The following is a 15,334-nucleotide window of genomic DNA, read 5'->3' on the forward strand; positions in this document are numbered from 1 at the left end:
AAAAAAATAAAATAGAAAGTACTAGAGTTTTTGCTGTGAACCTAAAACTGAAGTCTATTTTTAAAGTACTAGAATGTTGTAAAATGTTTGGTAGCTACAACATCAAGGCAAATAATATGTTTACAGTACCTTCCTCCAATTCTCTGCAAATGTTCTAATAAGCAGTGATATAGATCCGTATTCTTACGGCTCAGATCAGCAAGCAACTCTCCAAAATATCTGGGGTCCAATTTTTCAGGGCCATCATCCTGAATTATCACCTGAAGCAAACATCAATCACAATTGTAAGCAATATTAAGTTTTTCTAAGTTCATAGATATTTTTATGTGAAGCGAAAGAAAGATAACCTACTAAAGTCATCACATAAATCAAGCCATTTTTTTCAGGGATACATTTTTTAATGTGGGAGAAATTTAAAGAAAAATCAACATTGCAATGGCAATTTCAACTTCATTTCACTCGATTCTAAGTGTTCAAATGAAAGCAAAATTTGCATAGCATAAACATTCTTGAATATAGGCACTTAAATAAAACAGCAAAATGAGTAAATTAAATCACATGGCTTATTCATATGTCTCCTGTGGAAAAAGAAAATGTGAATTATATTTTTTATTAATTTTTAAAATTAAAAATTAATTGAAACATAATAAAAGTACATATTTATGAGTTTTACTGTGCTACTTCAATACCTGCATACAATCTGTAATAATCAAATCAGGATAATAGCATATCCATCACCTCAAACAATAATCATTTCTTCATGGTGAGAACATTTAAAATCCTCTCTGCTAGATATTTGAAAATATAGAGTAAATTTCTGTTAGCTATAGTCTCCCCACAGTGTTATAGAACACTGGAACTTATTTTTTTCTACATAGTGGTAGTTTTGGATTTGTTAACCAATCTCTTCCTATATTTTCTTCCCCCTCCCTTCTAAGCCTCTTGCTACCACTATTCTACTTTCTACTTGCATGACATCAATATATTTATATATTTAGCTCCCCCATATAAGTGAGAACATGTGATATTTATCTTTCTGTGCTCTGCTTATTTCAGTTTACATAATGTCCTCCAGGCTTATCAATGTTGCCTCAAATGACAGGATTTTATTCCTTTTTATGGCTGAATATACTCCATTGTGTACATTGTGTATACACATGCCATATTTTCTTTATCCACTTATCCATTGATGGACACTTAGGTTGATTTCATATCTTGGATATTGTTAATAGTGCTGCAATCAACATGGAAGTGCAGATATATCTTTGACATACTGATTTTTGAATTATACTGACTATAGAGGAATTACTTCCAGTTGGACGCACATATTCTAAGTGAAAGTCAGCCTGATTTGTTAGTATATCTTAAAGGTAGATAAACCTACTCAATTCAATGTGTTTTAACGTATTTCTTGTTTGACTTCCCCCGTTTATTATTTAAAGCCAATATTTAGTCAATCTCACATGGGAAAGAGTAGCTCAGGGCCAACTGTAGAGAACTCATAGACTTCAGAGACATTTGAAATCCTAGACGCAAATTACTATGAACAGTGTCCTAAATAAGACACATTCTGTTGGCTTCCTATTCTTGGGTATCAATCTTTTCAATATTATTGGGCACTGTGGCTCCCATCCCCAAAACGCACTGCCTGGAGGATAATAACTTAGGTTACACTCCATACTACTTTCAACATTGCATGTAAAACCAAGTGCCCTAAAAACACATTTATTCTTAAGCATATAGATGGTAAATGGATTTGAATTTGACTACTGATACTTCCTTTTCAACCTCTCCTCTGAATTCAGACCTTAAAAAACTGTACATTCTAAGGCAAATGGAAGAATTGCAAAGTAAGCAAAGATAAGTTTTCATAATTACATTTGTGACACAAAAATCAGTTTATAAAATATTGGTCAGTTAAAAAAAGTGAGACACAAAAAAAGTGTAGTATCATCACATTTTTGTTCAGTCTAGATGAATATACCACAATGTTAGTTATCTTGTCCATGTACCCTTTGGAGTTGCTTCCCTGAGTAAATAATGATTATTTCTTAAAAAGAATAAACTCTCATATGTGAAGGCATGAGTAGATGGGTAAACCTGTAAAGTCAATATCATCACATAGTATGTTTAAATATCATAGAATTAACAAGTAGTGCATATATAGAGATGTAGATAACATATGAAAATAGATATATATTCATATGTCTATATCTACATATTCTATATAAAACCTTTAAATACTTAGATATACATAATTTTATTTTTTTCCCAGTACGTTCTCTCCTTCAGCCACAGTAGATTTCACTCTTTGGGGCACACACCATACATTCCTGCCTCTAGGATTTTACTCACATTGTTTTCTGCTTAAATACCCTCTGTCCTTCTTGTTGTGTATCCAAATCTTACCCATCCTTTGAAACTCATCTCAAAATCTACCATATCCGTGAAAACTAAAACTATGCCAGCCAACAAGCTAATTCAATTCAGCTCTTTGTGCTCAATTATTTTTAATTGTTTTATTTTATTATACAGATGTAAGTCTTGTTTTCTCAGCACCCTCTTTTTACCACAAAAGAAATAAACAAGAATGAGTCATACTTTTTGGTATATTTGATAGTATCTAATACAATACTGATTAAATACTCTACAGCTGCTCACTAAAACTTGTTGCATTGAAAGAAATCATCTACCTGATTAGAAATGCCCCCAAGTGCTAGTAATTCTGGAAAGAATTTTTTTACAGGTTTCTCTCTTAAAGCCTCCAACAACAACAACAACAAATGGTTAACAAAGTCAGCAAAAGTACAGGCAGCCCTTCCTTAGGAATATCATGGTGATCCCTTGTACCTTCCTTACTAGGAAGAGTCAGTGTCATCACACAGTCTAATTGGAGCAACTAAACTGAACTCCTTATAGAGTTGGAGGCTGGTATTTGAATTCTACATAGACTTCTGAATAATGTCCATCAGATTCTCAGTGATTGACTCCTCTCAGGAAATGAAAGTCAAAAGCAGGTAAGTCGTTATTCACAATTATGTCTCATTTAAACAGTCAATGTGTTTAAGAAAATCATAAGATAAGGACCAAACTAGCCCTTTTGGAATCCATAATCCATTTGGGTTCAAATTTGGGAGGGGGGAGGGCTGAGGGAATTAAAATTCTCATCTATTGTTAAGTCAGGACTATTACTCAAGACCAAGGTGAAATTTCCTAACCATAAACTGTGTTGTGCTAGTTAGCAATATTTTCCATTACTAAATCACAGCTCTTTGGAGCTTCTTAATTTTAATGGAACTATTTGTGGGTGTGTTTCGACATAGCTTTTAGAGTTGGCTCAAAGCTATCTTTTTTGTTGCCTTGAGAAAGCCAAGATAGAAGTCGTCCCAAGGATACATGAGTGCCTTGGGCCAGAATAATGGTAGCAGTAATGGATAGAAGTTTTCTCCCTGTTACAATACTGACTTGAAATATAGCTGCACCTCATATATACTCATCTGCCTGATGAATGAGAGCTATCTCAAATGTTAATCTTTGATAATTAATTTAGTTGTTTATCTATAATCAAGGAAGGAATACAGGCTGTGCTGAAGAATATAAACATATACGGATACACAAAACATGATAATTTTCTAAAAAACTACAAAAATTGTTAGATTCATGAGCATGCATCAATGAAGTACGTTTAATCGGATCACTATTTGACTATAATAATTGCCAAACAGTCTAATTCCTTGTCTCTAATTATAGATGAGAAGCCCATGATGATAATAGCTCCAGTAAACTCAAGGCAAAGCAACAATGCTTAAGTGTGCAACCAGAGGCAAATTAGTGTCCATTTTCTGGGAAAATCTGTAGAAAGGAAGTAATTTCAAAAGGAAGTCATTTCTAAAGAGAAATTACAGACCTCACCTCACTACTGCCTTGGAAGTTCTTGACCTGGCTCCAATTTGGGGTGTTGTTTCATATTTGTGATCTATGAGTAGTAGGTGGACTTTTCTTGCTAGCCTCCACACTTTATAAACTTTCATATTCAAAGACAACACACTTAACCAACCATATTTACATCGTTCAGTGGTAGTGATTATAAGGCACAATCAATAGTTGCTGATTTCAGCTGAGCTATCTATATTCTCTTGCCTGGTTTCCCTTCAGCTTAAGAACAAACATTTGTGAGAATGCTTCTCAGGGGTAGGGATAGTTTGTAGTCAAGGAACAAATGACAATCCAGTAGAACAGTCTTGGCTTAATTAAATTTATTCCTACTAGGTAACTGGCTTAAATGTGTGCATGTTTCACCTATTTAGAAGGGTCGTTTAGAGATTATAAAGCGCTTAAAATGCCATGTTATGTAAAAGCAATTATATCTAAGTAACTAAACTCCTAAAAGGTCATGAAAATATTAAGTAATAAGATCTGCTGTATTAAGATCCAACTGGGTAGTAAGTTTTGAACTGCTGCATGGCAATGGAAAACCTCACTATTAGTAAAAGGTTATAACGTATAGATTATACATATATGTCCAGCAAAGATTATAAGGATGTGGTGACAGTTTTGGATGTATAAGATTACTACTTGATTTTGCTTTGATTTGGAACATTTAATATCTGTTAGACTGATTCAAACATAGTTAATCCAGTGGGCATTAATCCCTGACAAAATTAAATGCATTTCAGATACAATGTCATTTGGCTAATGAGGTAAAAATAAATAATTGGTCTCCTTATTTTATACCAGGAGTAGCAATTCTAACAAGAGAAAAAGTAAAAGAATTTTAGGTTCTGAAAATCCTCACTATTATTTTAATCTATGTAGATATTTTAATAAAGAAATGATGCTACCTAGTGCATATTAGATTATCTTTTATATTTTTTTCTTTTTCTTTAATTTTTAAATTTTGTCTGTATATAGTAGATGTACATATTTATGGGATGTTTGAGATATTTTCATACAGGCATGCAATATGTAATAATCACATCAGGGTAAATGGGGTATCAATCACCTTAAGTATTTATGCTTTCTCTGTGTTACAAACAATTCATAATGCTCTTTTAGTTATTTTTAAATGTACAATTAAATTATTGTTGATTATAGTTACACTGTTTTTCTATCAAATACTAGATCTTATTCTTTCTAATTCTTTTTTGTGCCCATTAACAATCCCTAATACTCTCTCACCCCCGCCCCACTAACCTTCTCAACCTCTGGTAACCATACTCTACTCTCTATCTCCATGAGTTCTAATGTTTTGTATTTTAGTTTCCACAAATAAGTGAAAACATGTAATATTTGTTTTTCTGTGCCTGGCTTATTTCACTTACTATAATGTCCTCCTTTTCCACCCATGTTATTGTAACTGACAGGATATCATTCTTTTTATGGCTGAATAGTACTTCATTGTGTATATGTACCAAATTTTCTTTATCCATTAGACTGTTGGATAAAGAAAATTTTTAGATTCCTTCCAAATGTTGGTTATTTCCTTTCTTTTATGTATATACCCAGCAGTGGAATTGCTGGATCATATGGTAGCTCTATTTTTAGTTTTTTGAGGAACCTCCAAACTGTTCTCCATAGTAGTTGCACTAATTTACATTCCCACCAACAGTGTACTATGGTTCCCTTTTCTCCATATACTCACCAGCATGTGTTATTGCCTGTCTTTTAGATAAAATCCATTTTAAGTAGGGTGAGATAATCTCTCACTGTAGTTTTGATTTGCATTTCTCTGATGATCAATGATGTTGAGCACATTTTTACACCTCCCGTTTGCCATTTGTACACCTTCTATTGAGAAATCTCTACTCAGATATTTGGCCCATTTTAAAAAATTAAATTATTAGATTTTTTTCCTATTGTTTGAGCTCCTCATATATTCTGGTTATTACCTCCTTGTCAGATGGGCAGTATGCAAATATTTTCTTTCACTCTGTGGGTTGTCTCTTCACAAGTTAAAAGCTGTACAGAAGATTTTAACTTGATGTAATCCCATTTGTTCATTTTTGCTTCGGTTGTTTGTGCTTCTGGGTTATTACTCAAGAAATCTTTGCCCAGTCCAATGTCCTGAATAGCTTCCTCAATGTTTTCTTGTAGTAGTTTCATAGTTTGAGGCATTAGATTTATGTCTTTAGTCCATTTTGATTTTATTCTTGTATATGGTGAGAGATAGAGGTTTAATTTCATCCTTTGCGTATGGATACCCAGTTTTCCCAGCACAGTTTGTGGAAGAGACTGTCCTTTTCCCAATGCGTGTTCATAGCACCTTGGTTGAAAATGAGTTCACTATAGATACATGAATTTGTTTCTGGGTTCTCTATTCTATTCCATTCATCTATGTGTTTGTTTTATGCCATTACCAGGCTATTTTACCAGGTTACTGTAGCTCTGCAGTATAATTTGAAGTCAGTTGAGTTCTGCCCAATTTTGACAGCACTGATTTCCAATGCAAAGTCCCACACTCACCTTGCTCTCCCTCCCTCAAGCACACAGATTCTCTCTCCCTGCCACACAGCCTCTGTCAGGTTATGAGGGATGGGTGGCATCAGCAATTCAAGACTGTTTTTCCTATCCTCATCAGTGCCTCTTTCAGTGATACGAAGTTACATTCAGGTACTGTGATCACTCACCTAATTTTTGGTTCTTATGAAGAAGCTTTTTTTTGTATGTAGCTAGTTGTTAATTTTGGTGTTCCTGCAGGGAGGACAATCGGTGGAAGCTTCTCTTTGGTGGAAGCTTCTCTTTGTCCATCTCGCCCCACCTCCTGGTTCATATTAGATTTTCAACACATGTTGTCACTGAATTGAATGTACTGTACAATAGTCACAATTCTAAAATGAAGACTTCTTTATAACAGTTCTGTACTTGAAATAAAGAACTAATTTAACTTTCTGTGTGAAAAAACATAGATAGCAAAGTGTTGCAATGAAAAAAGAATTGAATTTGAGAACAAATGTGGAGCTTCCATTTCCCATTTGTGAGTTAAGTAAATTGCTTAACTTCTCTGTGCCTGTATTTCTCAACTGTATTATGTAGGCAATTTAGTACTTATTTTATAAAATTGCAGAAGGCATCAAATAAAATTAAATGGGGGGGAAGTGCTCAGTAAATTGTTAAACAATTGTGCAAATAATTTTCTTTAATTTAAGGCATATGTACAGTTTGCTACTGAAATGACAGAATAAATGAAAGACAATTGCCTCATTTTCTATAAGACTCTCAGCTGCCTGGGAGTACAGATACTGTTGTTTTTTAAGTTCTAGTGCCCAGCATGGTGCCTGAATATAATAAGTCCTAAGTAAACATTTGTTGGATAAAAATATTTTTATCACCATAAAAATAATAATAATGCTGATTCTGCATCAACTCATCTTGTTCATCAAAAGAAATATTAAGGACATCCCTTTTAATAGCCTAATCTTTCAAGGTAAGTAAGTAGTGAGAAAGTTGATTATAACAAAGGATAAAATTGCAGCTACATATTAAGCAGAACAGAGGGAAAAGCACTGGTTGTAAGAGGTGCTTTAACAAATCACACTGAAATGGATTTAGTGAAACTTATTCAAAGCTATTCTCACTTCCTTTTGGTGTGTGAGTGTGTGTTTCCAGTTTGACATTCTTCTTTTCCAAACCAATTAAAAACAATGTAGGTGGTTTGAGTTGTAATTTTATAATGAGTATAAGTAACTGAATAATAACATTTGTAACAGCGTAAATTATTCTTTCTCATGGGAAAATAAAATGTATGATCTTTTCTTGTACTACAAAGTGAGTATCAAGAATTTGCAAACCTTTTTCTCATAAACAATGGGAATTCTGCAACAAGGGCCTAACGAGAGCTACAGATCAAATGCTAAGAGTTCCAAGAAGAAAACTTAACTTTCAGCTGTATGAGAGAGGTTGTATGAAGAAAGAATCATCAAACTATGACAACTAATTAGGTGTGGAGTGGCAAAGCAGACAGAGCAGTTAAAAAAATGATGTTAAATATTAAGACTAGTAAATAAAGCACTGGATATATCATTGATAGATGAGAGAAAGTGAAAAGCGGATATGATTCGTTTGAGATGACTGTGGGACAGTCAAGTAGAGATGTCAAGTAGGCAATTAAAAATGATGCATTGGAGCTGAGAAAGTTTTGGGTATTGTCCATACAAAAGTAGTAGCAAAAGTCAAGATTTTATATCATGTTGTCAAGGGATAGAGGGTAGAGAAAAAGAAGGGGGGCTGTTCTCATGCTGCTGATAAAGACATACTTGAGAATGGACAATTTATAAAAGGAAGAGGTTTAATGGACTTACAGTTCCACATGGCTTGGGAGGCCTCACAATCATGGTGGGAGATAGGGAAGACCAAGCCATGTCTTACATGGATGGCAGCAGGCAAAAAGAGAGAGCTTGTGCGGGGAAACTCCCTCTTATAAAACCACCAGATCTCATGAGACTTACTCACTATCACAAGAATAGCATGGGAAAGACCTGTCCCCATGATACAGTTACCTCCCACTGGGTCCCTCCCACAACACATGATCATTCAAGATGAGATTTTGGTGGGTACACAGCCAAACTATATCAGGGGCCAAGAATGGGTCCTTGGAGAAGAGGTCCAGATGAAAGAAGGAAGAAGTGCCTGAGAAGAAGTCATAGAAGCTGCAGTATAGTATAATGGAAAGAAAGATATCAAGAATAGAATAGATTAGCAGTGCTAAATGCAGTAGAACTGAAACAAAATGAGGGTCAAGAAAAGTAAGTGGGATTCAACAACTTGGAGGTCAATAAAAGCAGTTTCAGGAACATAGTGAAGCTAGAATCTGGTTTGCAGTGTTGAGGAATGTGTGAGTAGTGAGAATATAGCATCTGAGAGTATGTCTCCCTCCTTTGGAAATTTTTCAGATGAAGGGAACAAAAGAGATGAGATTATAAGTCAATAGAATGGTAGGGTCACAAAGGGAGTCACCCTGATCACAAAGTTAGAGTCTTAATTCTTGAAGATCAAAAGAATCAGAAGTTTGCTGAAGGTATAGAAAAAATTTTCAGTAAAGTGGAGCATTGAAGGAATTTATGTGGTGAACCAAAATCGTGGTCCCTGGGCCAGTAAAGTAGCATTGGGATAACCAGGGAACTTGAAAATGCAGATTATCAGGCCCCAGCAATCTCTCCTTAAATAATTCTTCCAATTGATTCTGGTGCCCACTAAAGTTTGAGTTCCACCATCCATTGTTAGTAGAAGGCAAGGCTACCTGCAGAGAGGGAGACATCAGCAGTGAGACTTGGAGTATGAGCAGGGTGGGATAGATAAGAATTAGACATTGAAGACTGGTAATGAGTTGATTAGAATCAATTAAAAAGGCTGTTTAACAATGGTGGGAGTCCAGAAAGACCGAGACAATCTGTACTAGACTAAATTGGTTTAGTCTGAAGACTCTCTAGTATACAAAGAAGTCAAAATCTAGGGGCACAGAAGGTGGATGGCAGTCTACACAAAGCAAAGGATCAGCAAAGTGATGCCAGTAAAAGGAGAAGGGCTTCTAGCAAGATCATTGCTGAACTGGCTGACAATGGAAACCAGTGTGGCTTAGAATTGAGGGATGGAGAGTTTGGTGAAGGTGACATTAAACAGAAATGAGAGAGTAAGAGATAAAACAAGAATGTGATGGCAAGAGAAAGAGACATTCAGAATCCCAGGTTAAACAGTTTCAAGTGAAGATATAAATTCAAGGACTGGCTGAAAGCTATGTGAACTGAAGATGTAGAAATGAAGAAATTGAGAGTGAGGAAGAACCATGAAGACAGTGTGGGAAAGGGTACTGATGTGGTTGGTGAAGTTCTTATAGATGATTCTAGATTCAGTAGGAAGTGGAGAGAAGATTGTAAGTTGGCTGATGAAACTGTTGAAGGACAGAGAGAGTGACCAAAATGTCAGTAGAGAGTGATAATTCAAACCAAGGCAGGTGGTGTATAAGGATTACAGAGTTTCAAGGAGAGTAGAAAGCTGATAAGGGATAATTGATCAATAGGAACCAGAACATTTGTGTATTGAGAAAAGAATTAACAATAGATACACAAAAACCAAGCAAATGAAAAAAATTAGAGAATTATTAACACCAGCAAAAAGTTGTGCGAATAAAAGAAGCAAAATAATACACAATTTGGTTCAGCAGTAAATGATATTTTATAGCAATAATAATATAAACACTGAACACTGATTTACCAAAAATAAATGGAGATTTAACTATATTGGGATGATGGAAGGGATGAAAACAGTTAGATGAGAGATGAATAGAATTAAACCTGTGTGTCAGAATTATCAACAGATAATATGTAACACTGATAAATCAAGACATAGCAGCATAAGTATACCCATACTATAAGTTTATGCATACTGAAAATACATGCATGCCATTTAGCTTTATATATAGCTATTTAGCTAAATGCAAGTAAATATCACAAGACGAAGCTAACAATTGAAAATGATTGCCTCTGGGGATCAGCTCTGGGTGGTGAAGAGGGTAGGGACAGGGAATTGCTGTTTGTTATATGCCTTTTACTACTATTTGGCCTTTTAAACTATATACATATATTACTTTAACTAAAAAAACTAATTTATAAAAAAGCAAATAAGTAACAATGTGTTAAAAATAAAGTTGAGTTTGCCATAAAACAATAGTTCTAAAAGGTTTCATAGTAAGAGGTTGCAGAGGTTGCAGAAGACAGATAAGGTAGTGTTGGGAAAAGATAGGCCCCAAATGGACACTAATTAAATTTGTGGGAGCAACAGCAGGGGATACAAGTTTACATAAAAGGCACTCATTTTCAATAATGGGATTGAAGAGGGCAATAAACATGGAGAGGAAGTTGAGCCACCTGTTAATGAGCGAGGGGATAGACAGAACTGCTGAGTTCATTGAACTAACCAGCCCTGAAATTCTATCATTGGTGAATGACATGTTAAATAAACATTATAGTGAGCTTCACAGAGACCTGCCAGAAAAAGCACCTGACACTAAGATCTGATGTTTTCTGTCAATTCATTGAAGGCATCACATCACAAATTGGAGTATTTTTCATTGGCAATAGCACTATCCAGGTGATCAGGACTGTTCCCTTTACATCTTCCCATGACTACAAAAGACTTCCCTGAATCCTTAAGCCAAGTGGAAGAGAGTTGCACACACACTATATACACTTATTTGAATATTTCTTACAAATGCCACCTATATGACAACTTGTAAAATGACTTCAGCTGAGCTGTTCCCTGTCATCAACAGGTGTAAAATTATCTGTTCCTTGCTAATGACAGGAAAATGATCACAGCAAGTTATCCTTAATTTCTTCAGGGAAGTATATGTAACTTGTAATATTTTGAATTTGAAATCAAAAGGGTGATATTAGTAGGGAGGACCATGGAAAATGCACATAAATTAATTTTATAAAAATATTTTAAAGTCACAGTTTTAGATATCTGATTTTGAAAAATATTTTTAATGCCTTTCACTTTGGGGAAAGTACTTTAAAGGTGATCTAGTTTCATCTAAAAATAGTCTTACAATGAAACTAATTTCTTATATTGGTGATTTGAAACATTTGCGACCCAGAGTTGGGGCAAGAAGATCAATAATCAAACATTAATTTCAGCATCTGCTATGTACTTGACACTAAGATAGGTGCTTTACATATTTTATCTCATTTAATCCTCTTGTAGGATATATTGTACATTAAAGTATGATTCTTCCCCTTTTAGAGATGTAGAAACTGAGGTTCCGTCCAGCTAAGTCTATTGCTGAAGGTCATGCAGCTCAGCAGGATCAGGTTTTATAAATTCAGATAATTAAATTGAATGCCTGTGTTCTATTCCTCTTTACCACGCTCCTTCCAAATTACAGTTTAACTCTAAACACAAACCATGAAAATGGGTCCTACTTTAGTTTTAAAAGAGCCTAATCTATGTCTGCGCATCACTCTTTAAAGATACTCTTCTACCCACATATCACTACAGGGGACATGTAAACACCAAGGTGCCTAGGTGGGAGAACTCCCTCCTTTGTCCATGGGATCTGCACAAGCAGGTTACCCTGTCATCACTCTGAGCAGGAATGGACCCAATCCAAAGTAATCTATACAAGTGAAATTACTAACTCTAAGCTTCCTGTAGAGTGGTGCTTCCAAGGGCCTATTCTATTTTCAGCAGCACTTCAACTTTATCCTTATAAAATATTGAAAAAGCTGGGGGTGGGGGGCTGGGGAGGGATAGCATTGAGAGAAATACCTAATGTAGATGACAGGTTGATGGGTGCAGCAAACCATCATGGCACGTGTATACCTATATAAGCAAACCTGCACGTTCTGTACATGTATCCGAGAACTTAAAGTATAATAAAAAAAGAGATTATCTAAAATGGAAAAAAAGCGGAATTTAATAAAATTAAAGAAAAAAATCCTCCAGCCTTTACAGAAGCTACATAGAAATCTCAAACTACAGTATGAATAATAAAAAAGTGATACATTAGTTACCCAACTTTGCCCCTTTACTGAGTAGACAACATGTAATCTAGTCAAATGTATTATTAGATGTACTAAGCTGGGGAAAGAATATTATAACATTACTGTTGCCACTGGACAAAACTCTTAATCCTGTCATACAGTTCCCATCTCTGATCATTGTCCCTTCTACCATTTCTATTGTCATTATTCTACTTTGTTTTACACCTAGACTATTGAAATAGCTTCTAATAATCTTTCATTTGCAAAGTTTTCTCCATTGATTTTTTCAAGTTGTAGACTTTGTAGTTTATAAAAAATTTCCAGCACATATTTTTATTTAGTATTTTATGGATGAGGATGTTGCTGAGAGATTTTGTATTACTAAGAACACATAGCTTGAGAGGAACAGAGTTAAGACAAGAACCCAGGTCCCCATACACTGAAACTAGTCTGCTTTCTATCACCAATACCTTCCCTGTGGCAGACTCTTCTTAACCAAGTGCTTTCTTTATGTTTATACTATTGCTCAAGGACTCTCCACATAAGTGACCCAAATTCAAGGAGGAACTATCAATGGGCTCTGGAGTCAGCCTACATATGTATAAATCTTGGCTTTACTGCATGCTGGCTGTATAAGCCTTTGCAAATAATTTAAACTCTTTGAAACTCGGTTACCTTATATGAGCAATAAGGACAACAATAGCACCTTCCTAATCTGATCATTGTAAGAAGAAAATTAATCAATATGCTAGCCATATCTATTAGTATTTTCCTACTCAGCAACCTTCACTCACCCTCCATTGCCTACTAAAGAAAGCCCAAAGTTTTTAAATTAACACTTGAGAATCTCATGACCTGGCCTTAATGTATCATATTAACACTACACCATAATACTCCTTGTCACATGTCTTTCATGCCATACAAATCAAACCCCTAACTTTTTCTGAAACCCAGAATTTACTTTCCCAAATCTATAACTTTGTTTATGTGATTCTCTCTTCCTAGGATATTATTTCCATGCAATATCACAATACCATATATAGAAATTCTGCCCATTTTTCAAAGCCCAGGTTAATTAATTCCTCAACATAGCCTTCCTTGATCTCTCAGCCAAAATTAATTTCTTCAGTCTTTTGTTCCCAAAGTGTGTTGTTTTTTCCTCTTTTATGACTGAAAACACTTTGGTTTGTATTATGCTTTTTTATGTGCCTGCCACTTTCCCCTATTAGAAGAAACTAAGGCAAAGCAAAGTTAAGCATTAGGTTGAACTGTATAAAATTGTTGCTATTATACCAGTTTCAACCTACAAAAATGACAATTTCAAATGATCTAATCTAATAAAATGGCTCTTTTATGGTTATATCTAATACACTTAAGGTAAATATTCAATACCTTCTGGATTGTATTCTATGAGTTATTCTAGAGGCCAATGTTTCTGTGCAGATATACAGAAGAAAGACAATTTTAGGCTTTTCTTTAAAATTAGAAAATTTAAAAAAATGTAGAGATAAGGGTCTCACTATGTTGCTCAGGCTTGTCTTGAACTGCTGGCTTCAAGAGATCCTCCAGCCTTGGCCTACCAAAGTGCTGGAAATGCAGATGTGAGTCACCGAACCTGGCTCTAGGCTTTTCTTAGATTGAAAAAACATGGATTTTAAATCTTTTGTTGTTCTTTTTGATTAATGTGGCCAAAATGTATATTTCAAAATTTCAGTTCTTAGAAATAATCTCATGTATACTTAATATAAAATAATCAAATTCTTATGTGGGCTGGCTCCTTCTTTATTTTTTTCTTGTTTTCTTTTGTCTTTTAGTAAGAGGTGCCTATGAAAGAGGTCAATTGGAGATCTAGAAAAATACAAGTGATGGTTGATTCCCCATTGTTCCAGTTATTAATATTAGTTTTACCAACATACAAGAAAATCTTTTTTCCTTCAACACTTGTATAGCAGATGTTTATAAGATTCCAAAATTTTCATAACATAAATTAATTACCAAGAATTGTATTACATGAGATTTCTCCTTAGCAACTAAGTTCTAGTTTCTATTTTGTCAATGTGATACATAATAAAATCTATACATATTTTGACTTGATTCTCAAGACAAATAATATATTCTCAAAGAAGACATACAGAAAATATGTATATATTCTCAAAGAAGACATACAGGAAGTAAATACCAGTTTGTGAAATGTGACCATTAAAATCATCTTAGATAATATAACTTCCAATTTATTGTTCATTTAAATACCATACCTCGTGAAAATATTTAACATTGCACAACTGTTGGGCCCATTTTAGAACTGAAGATCAGCTACAAATTAGGTATTCATTAACCAGTTCATAACTAACCTCATAGATTTAATGTCTTAATCGACCTAAATTGTTTTGTCTTCTGAGAGAAGATGGGAAGATTTGTTCTAAAAATGCTGACAAGGCACAAATACCAGTGATATAACTTCTCAGTATTTTGATGAAAATTTAATGGGAGCACCTGCATAGTGGTATGAGAAGAGTTCAAGAACATTATTTCAGTTTGTTAAGGAATCAGCTGATTGATCTTACCTGCTCACAAATCTGGCTTGATCCACTATGGCACAGTTCATTTCCAATATGTGTAGAAATTGGATTATTTCCTGTGATGGCTTGGATTTGCTGGCTAGAATCAGGTTGTTGCCAGTGTGCAGAGTGGATGACCTGGGGCTGTTGGATAATGTGATGATGGCATTGAGCCTGAGGATGGCACCCCTAAGACACATACACATGCCAAAAACAGCCACTTAGGATAAACATTACTAATCAAGAAAAACAACTGAAACCATTTTTTTAAACTTAATGTTTTCTTTCACTATAATTCAA

At 34.7% G+C, this 15,334-nt stretch overlaps 1 protein-coding gene across 3 annotated transcripts in view; it reads right to left on the reverse strand.

Moving 5' to 3' along the window:
• POF1B (POF1B actin binding protein) overlaps positions 1–15,334 on the reverse strand; it is a 102,270-nt gene that overhangs the window by 53,424 nt on the left and 33,512 nt on the right. For 2 of the 3 annotated variants that reach the window (NM_024921.4, NM_001307940.2), the window contains exons 6-7: positions 15,041–15,223; positions 130–260 (exon numbers count right to left, since the gene is read on the reverse strand). In NM_024921.4, the coding sequence (NP_079197.3) occupies positions 130–260; positions 15,041–15,223 (314 nt within the window). The remainder of the gene's footprint in view (positions 1–129; positions 261–15,040; positions 15,224–15,334) is intronic. The other variant, XM_005262203.5, reaches the window with a different exon arrangement.

This window comes from Homo sapiens, chromosome X, assembly GCF_000001405.40.
Source record: "Homo sapiens chromosome X, GRCh38.p14 Primary Assembly".
Lineage (NCBI taxonomy): Eukaryota > Metazoa > Chordata > Mammalia > Primates > Hominidae > Homo > Homo sapiens.